Genomic DNA, 8,197 nt, shown 5'->3' on the forward strand with positions numbered 1-8,197 from the left:
TGCTCCAGAAAGTTTACTTTGCCCCTCCTATTCCTCTCCACAGAGGCAAAAATTATTCTGATTTCTAGCACCTAGAATAGTTCTCCCTGCTCTTAAACTTCATATAAAAGAAATAATACAATGGTATGCTTTTACGGGCGGGGAGGCTGGCTACTTTCCCTCAACATTATACTTCTAAGATTTACCCATATTGTTACATTTAGTCATAATTATTTATTCTCATTGTTGTGTAGTGTTCCCTTGTATAAATATTTTTCTATTATTTTTCTATTTTTCTGTGGATGTATATGTGGTTTATTCTCAGGCTTTTGGGGCTATTACAAATAAAGCTGATATGAGCATTCTTAAACAAGTCTTTTGTGACATATATTTTCATTCTCTTGGGTAAATACCCAGGAGTAGAATTTGTTTTAAACCAATCTGCCTGCTCAATGTAGCCACACAAGTATGCTTAGGCAACAGGAGAACCACCTACCCAATCCACAGAATCAGAACAAATTACTGCATTTTGAATTGGTTATTATGCAGCAATGAAAACTAAAAAGGTATTTAATCTCATGTTCTCTGGAACAAGATTGCCTGGTTTTGAATGTCAGCTCTTTCACTTACCAGCTACTTGACCATAGGCAAGGTATTCAGCCTCTCTGCGGAGTCAGATGTCCAACCCTTATTCCTCATCCACGATTTTCACTGGGTACGTGACTATCCAGCTAGATTACATTTCCCAGCCTCTCTCACACTTATTAACCACATGACTAAAGAATGTGAGCTGAATCAATGTGTGCCATTTCTTAGTCTGGACTTTAAGATATTGGGCATGGGCTTCTTCATACCCACTTCCCTTTCTAAAAGACTGAGACATAGATAGGCTCACAATCTACTTTTAATCATGCAAAGACAAAGACAATGTCCTAGAAAATGATGGAGAAACAAGATGTAAGAGACATTGTTTCTTTATGACTACATGGAGTAGAGCTGCCCAACAGTGTAGGCTCCCCAGACTACCAGAAGCTTCTCTACTCTTTAAGCCACAGTATTTTTCTGTTTCTTTGTTACAGTACCTTTCCTTTTATCCTAATATACTCCCTATGCTTTACTTTAAAATAATGCTTGAGGTCAATTTGAAATTGGTTGATGTTCTCTTCATGAAGTGGAAATAATAGGAGCATTATAAAGTTATTAGAGTCTGTCAATACTCCCATACAGGAAACATGTCTTTTTATAATTGAATACAATAAGATAGTCTACCAATGTACAAGAAAATTTCTTATAATTCAGTATATACCACAATATAGTCAAGGCTTTAAAAAGTTTCTCTCATTTTGACTTTAATAGAAAAGTATTCTAAGAGCAGTACTCAAAGTATTCAACCCACTATTGGGCTAAGATTAGTTGTTCATGTTAGCAATGTATATTTTTGAAGTATCCAATCTCAATGCTTGACCAAATGAGATGAAGTCCTTGTTTTAATTTGGTTTTTCACAACTTCTAATTTCCTAAGATTAAATGAGGCAAATTGATTTTTTCTTTGCCAGATTTGATATACTATTGAAGAGCATAAAGACCTACTTTCTATTTCGTGGTCTATTCCTTTACCTTGATGGTCAATCATGAAGACAACATGATTGAGTGAAATAAATTTCTCCTTACTGCTTTTAAAGCAATGGTGCTCATTTGAGTATTGGACAACTAGAAACATAGGAAAAAGTAGACAAATTTTATGGGAAGGGATTAAGCACAAATACCTTATTTAAATATTCATGCTTAAAAAAGAATTCTCTCTGAAATCTCTCATATTTAGAGTAGTTCTTATACAGCAGGAATTTTGCTAAACTTGTTGCAAGCTTTGAGCAGATGTGAAACAAAGCAAAATGTGACCCAATGTTACCAGAGTCTGAAAAATTCACAGAACTGTGCTATTTTACAATAGTCTGCCAAAATTCATATTGAATGACTCATTAGAAGTTTATAAAATAAAAATAGATAAAATATGCATAAAGCCTTACACACAGTATACATAAAGCCTTATTGCTTTTTCATGTTTTCATAGCTGTTACAGAATTTGTTTTAAAATTGATGCTAACGTGCCTGAGTGAATAACCATTTAATTCAAGAATAAAATGAAAACAAGCTTAGTTGTACATTTCTTCATGTATCTATACATATGAGTAGATTCTTGATGTGTTAAGGCCTGTTTCAGCAGTCTAAGATTAATCAGTATGGGAAATAAAAGACAAGGAACAAAAGCCAATACTCAATTCCAAGATATTAGGAATATTAGAATCCCTGTGAGGGGAGAAGTCAATGGTAATTTATGTAAAATAATTTGGAGATACGTTGAATAATAATCAGGCAAACTCTCTTTAGAATGAGGTTACAAGGGACAGTAGGGCTGGTACAAAGACAATATATTTTCTTCTGTCTACAAGAATGGGCTGGAACCTCATCAGGAATATGAACTGGTACCATCACCCTTCCAATTTAGACCTATGGTTTGATTGAGATATGTAAACAAATACATACTAGAAGTTAAACAAATTAACACTAGTCACCCCACCAAATTCAGTTCGCTTGCACCTAGATTCCTAATGCATATTTCTACTAGAAGTCTGGCAATTAGCAAACCAGGTTTTGAGTTGTAGATGTTGCTTTTAAGGGAAAGGTTTTATCTTCAACTTTAACTCTTTCAGATTACTTAATATTTATAAAGGAACTAATTATGACTTTACAGTGAGGAAATCTGGCAAATACTACCTCAAATGAGTGACCAAAGTTAACATCACCAATAGGCGAACTGACATATTTGCCTCTTGACATTGTATACTGAAAACATAGAACCCTAACTTTTTTTAGTATGACTACCCAAAATTAATAGCCTGAATCTAATCGTGTTATGCATCAGGAGGGAACATCAGATAAAATAAAGGACTTTTTACAAAACACTGGTCTATACTCCTCAAAAATGACAATGTCTTGAAAGACAAGGGTAGAGAAACTATCCAAATTAAAGGAGGTTTGAGGAGACATTAGGACTAAACGCCATGCATGATCCCAGGTTAGATACTCTACTAGGGAGTAAATTGCTATGAAAAACTTTAAATATGGATTGCATTTCATGAAAGGGTATCATTAAAATGTTATGTTTCCTGAATTTGATAATTACACTATGACTATATAAAAGAATGTCTCCATACTTAGGAAGTACATGCTTTAAGTAAAATACAGGCTTAAGCCAAGGAACGCAATGACTGCAACCTATTCACAAAAGGTTCAGGAAATATTACATAGATATAAAGAGGGAAAGTATGATACAGCAAATATGATAAAATATTAATAATTAGTGAATCTGGATAAAGAATTTATAGGAGTTCTTTATGCTACTCTTCCAACTCTTCTTTAAATTTTTTTTTAGATTTTAATTCCAGTAAATATTTTATTAGAATTGTTCTTCTGTTTAATAATTTCAACTTCTATTTTAGATTCAGGGGGTACATGTGCAGGTTTATTACATGAGTATATTGTGGGGTGTGGAGGTTTGGGTAGAATGAACCCATCATCTAGGTAGTAAGCATAGTACCCAATAGTTAGTTTTTCAACTCTTGCCCCCTCCTACCCTCCCCCACAGTAGTCCCCAGTGTCTATTGTTGCCGTCTTTATGTGATGAGTACCCAATGTTTACCTCCCACTTCTAGGTGGGAACATGTGGTATTTCATTTTCTGTTCTTGCATTAATTTGCTTAGGATAACAGCCTCCAGTTGCATCTGTGTTGCAGCAGCGGACATGACAAAAAGACACATGCACACATATGTTCATCACAGCATTATTCACAATCGCAAAGACAGAATCAACACAGGTGCTCATCAATAGTGTATTGCATAAAGAAGATGTGGTACATGTACACTATGGAATACTACAGTCTTCTTTAAATTTAAAGTTAAATTTAAAAGCATTTAAACTTAACTCTAAACACATGAGGTTATTAAAACTTGAAAGATAAGAAAAGTCATCATTGCTTTCAACACACATTATCTTGGTAAATAATGTTGGTGAGTTCCAGAACTTAAAAAAAATGATGTTTATCTCTTGGTAACCTAATAACACAGATAATTAGAGCTATTCATTAAACAGCTAGTTTTAACTATTCCTACACATGTTTGAAATGGACATTTTTCAGAGTGCTTTTCTTTCACAGTAGTTCCATTGGAAATATCTGAGGAGTGAGAATGTTTTCAGTGGACATTGTCAACCACTTAACATCCAGAAAGCTAAACTTTGAATATCATAAACGTTTATTATAAGGTGCACTCTAAATCCAAAGAACCATGGCTCCCCTACAAATTCATTCCCTCTGTATTACTGGGCGCCTGTTATGTGTCTGGAACTAAGTCATTTGCAGGCCGTCTTAAACCACATCCATCATTTCCAGTAAACTAGCAGTTCCCAGACAGGTGTCTCTAGGTCAGGCCTCTGTCCAGAGCTGCAGAGTCACATGGGCCACAGCCTACTGTGCAGCTTCACTTAGATGTCTCACAGGCATCTTCACCTGTACCTGCCAAACTAAACTCTCATCTTCCCCTTCAAATCTGCATATCCTTCCATCTTCTATTTCAACAAACATTGAATCTTTTTAGTTGATGCAGGGAGAAACATGGGGGTCACCTTTGCATCCTCCATCTTCCTCTTATTCACATTCAATGAGTTCAAGTCCTACTGATCCTATCCTCTCTAAATATAGCAATTTTTTTTTTTTTTGAGATGGAGTCTCACTCTGTTGCCCAGGCTGGAGTGCAGTGGCACAATCTCGGCACACTGTAACCTCTGCCTCCTGAGTTCAAGCAATTCTCTTGCCTCAGCCTCCAAAGTAGCTGGGATTACAGGCGTCTGCCACCACGCTCGGCTAATTTTTGTATTTTTAGTAGAGACGTGGTTTCACCATGTTGGCCAGGCTGGTCTAGAACTCCTGACCTCAGGTGATCTGCCCACCTTGGCTTCCCAAAGTGCTGGGATTACAGGCGTGAGCCACCACACCAGGCCTTTTTTTGTTCTGTTTTGTTTTTGTTTTTGAGTCAGAGTCTTGCTCTGTCGCCCAGGCTGGAGTGCAGTGGCAAAATCATGGCTTATTGCAGCCTCAACCTCCTGGGCTCAAGTGATCCTCCCCTCTCAGCCTCCTGAGTAGCTGGGACTACAGGCATGCACCACCACACTTGGCTTTTTTTTTTTTTTTTTTTTTTTTTGTGGTAGATATGGAGTCTCACTCTGTTGTCCAGGCTGGTCTCAAACCTCTGACCGCAAATGATCCTCCTGCCTTGGCCTCCCAAGCTGCTGGGATTACAGGCACGAGCCACCATGACCAGCCATAAATATATCTTTAATCCATCTATTTTTCTCATTTCCATCTAAGAGAGGAAAGTAAGCTTAGTGGTGAAAAATATGAATTCTGGAATCAGATTACTTGAATTGAAATCCAAGCTGCAATCTCCTAACTGTGTGACCTTGAACAAGTTACTATGCCTCGCTGTGCATTAGTGTCTTCATCTGTAAAACTGGGCCCGTTAATGGTATCCATATTATAGGATTCTTATTGTGAGTACTCAATAAGTGTTCAATATCACTGTCTCCTTTGCCACCACTCCAGTCCAACCATTATCTCTCAACTAGACCAGCCTTGTATTGATCTCTCTAATTCTGCATTTGTGCCTCTCTAACCTACATGACAACTAGAGGATCTTTACAAAACACTGCTGGAAGCATGCAATTCCCCTGCTTAATGCCTTTCAGTGGCTTCCCTTTATCCTTGAATAAAATCCAAACTTTTTTTCAAATACCATATGTCCTTGCATGACCTAGCCTAGTGTTTCTCCAACTTTTGACAGCTGAAGACCACATGATGGGTATTCAGTTGACACAGTGCTACTAATTTCAGGTTAAAAAAAAAAAAACAACCAAAGGCTTATCCTAATATGAAGTAATAAACTGTCACTTAAAAGTAAAAATGATAATGGTTATATATAAGTAAGAAGAATATTGTTTATAATTTTCACCAAGGCATCCAGCTCCACATAAACTTAGTTTAGTTTACATCTATGCATAGACGGTTTATTTTCTTATATTTATTTCTAATAAACTGTAAAATCATAAATAACAATTATGGGCCATCAGCAATGACAATCTAGGGTGAATCTGTCAGAGAGTTCATAACTGAATTAAGCAGAGGACCCAAAAAGTATAGGTGATTTCTCACTGAAGATCACTTTCAAAGCTCTGTCAGATGCTAAGAAAGGAGTAAATCACACAAAACAGAAATGTTAGTGATTTGAACCAATTCCCAATCCAGTCTGATAACATTCAATCCTGGCAGCATTTCTTCTGGTTCTATGGTAGCATTTACATATGGTTTTCGACTAACCCGCAATAATAGACAATCAATTTGTCTGGGACCTAGCACATCATCATGTGCTAGGAAAACAAAACTCGTAGCAACAGAGCCCTTTTCATTGTAGGGCAGTCTTTGCAAAATGATATGCTGTCATTTTACCTTCAACATTAAAAATCACCATACACCAACTTTCAAACAATCAATCAGGTTGTTTGAGATTCTGAGATGACTAAGATATACCACTTGAGCAAACCACTTAAAAATGTATTTCAATGATATAACACTGTCATTATCAGATCATCATGAAGAAATGTTGGCAGGGCGCAGTTGCTCATGCCTGTAATCCCAGCACTTTGGGAGGCCAAGAAAGGCGGATCACTTGAAGTCAGGAATTCAAGACCACCCTAGATAACATGGTAAAACCCCATGTCTACTAAAAATACAAAAATTAGCCAGGCATGGTGGTGTGCACCTGTAATCCCAGCTATTCGGGAGGCTGAGGCAGGAGAATCACTTGAACCCAGGAGGCAGAGGTTGCAGTGAGCAAAGATTGTGCCACTGCACTCCAGCCTGGGTGACAGAGTGAGTGAGACTCCATCTCAAAAAAAAAAAAAAAAAAGGAAAATATGTTTAAATTATTTCCTCATTGCAAAAACTTGTATTTATTATGTTTATGGTTTATTTCTTATCTCCTCCCCTGGAATGTATGCTCCACAAAGGCATTGTGCTTTTTATCTGACTTGTTCACCACAATGTCATCAGAACCTAGTAGCTGCTCAGTGAATATCTGTTACAGAAATCAATAGATCTATGGTAAATGACTCTGGCCATTTTCCCAAACCTGTACCATAGATTTTAAAATCGTATAAAAATTGATTAGTAACAATGGTTTTTATTGAAGATCAAGTGTGATATGGTCTTAAAGATTCAGACTTAGACTTGAATTCCTGCTCCATCACTTAACTTAATCACTTTGTGACTTTGAGCCTGAGCCTCCATTTCCATTTCAAAACAATGGAAATCATGACACCTACCTCTGTAATTATTGAAAGAATTGAATTTGATAAGTGTGCACAATTTCTCAGCACAATGACTAACACATACTAGTTATTCGTTAAATGTTAGTAAGCTCCATTTCCCTTTTCTCTTTCCTTTTTGATTACAGTCAGAGTTACTTCCTCTGTCTGACAAAGGCTGAGCAGGGCTGGCAAAGGATTTTATTTTGCATGTCAGTCAGTATGTGTTCACTGCCTGGAACACTAGGTGAAGAAGAATTTGGCAGCCATGTCCAGATTCAGCAAATCAGCCCCATGATATCCACCCTGGCATTGGAGGGGAGAATGACAGCACCCGAGCAGAATCTACCATCCTGGATTTATAGACTCACCCAACTGCCTCATAAAAGAACCCTCTACTCCTCAAAATACTCATTTGATTTTTCAAGCATAACCATGAGAGGAGCTCTGTTACACAAGCATCAATTATAGAATTATTTCACAGGTTAAGGAAGGTTTAAGGAAAGACGGTGGAAAATCTATATTTCTACAAAGGCTTGTCAAACCAATTGAGCTGTCACTTCATTTTATGAAGTCTGCTGCTTTCAGTATATGCAGGCCTGGGTTTAAGACCATGGAGGTTTAGCTAATCAGGCTTCACAAATCCTATGTCCTCAACAGGATTTTGAAAACCCACATTTACTAGAAGGAAGCTTCTCCCAGTGACATAAAGAAAATGTCAACATTTCTGTAAAAGATCTTCAGTCCAGAATAATTTAGGATTAAGTATTGTATTGATCCCAGTGGTGTAAAAAATACTAAGAA

Source organism: Homo sapiens, chromosome 14, assembly GCF_000001405.40.
Source record: "Homo sapiens chromosome 14, GRCh38.p14 Primary Assembly".
Classification (NCBI taxonomy): domain Eukaryota; kingdom Metazoa; phylum Chordata; class Mammalia; order Primates; family Hominidae; genus Homo; species Homo sapiens.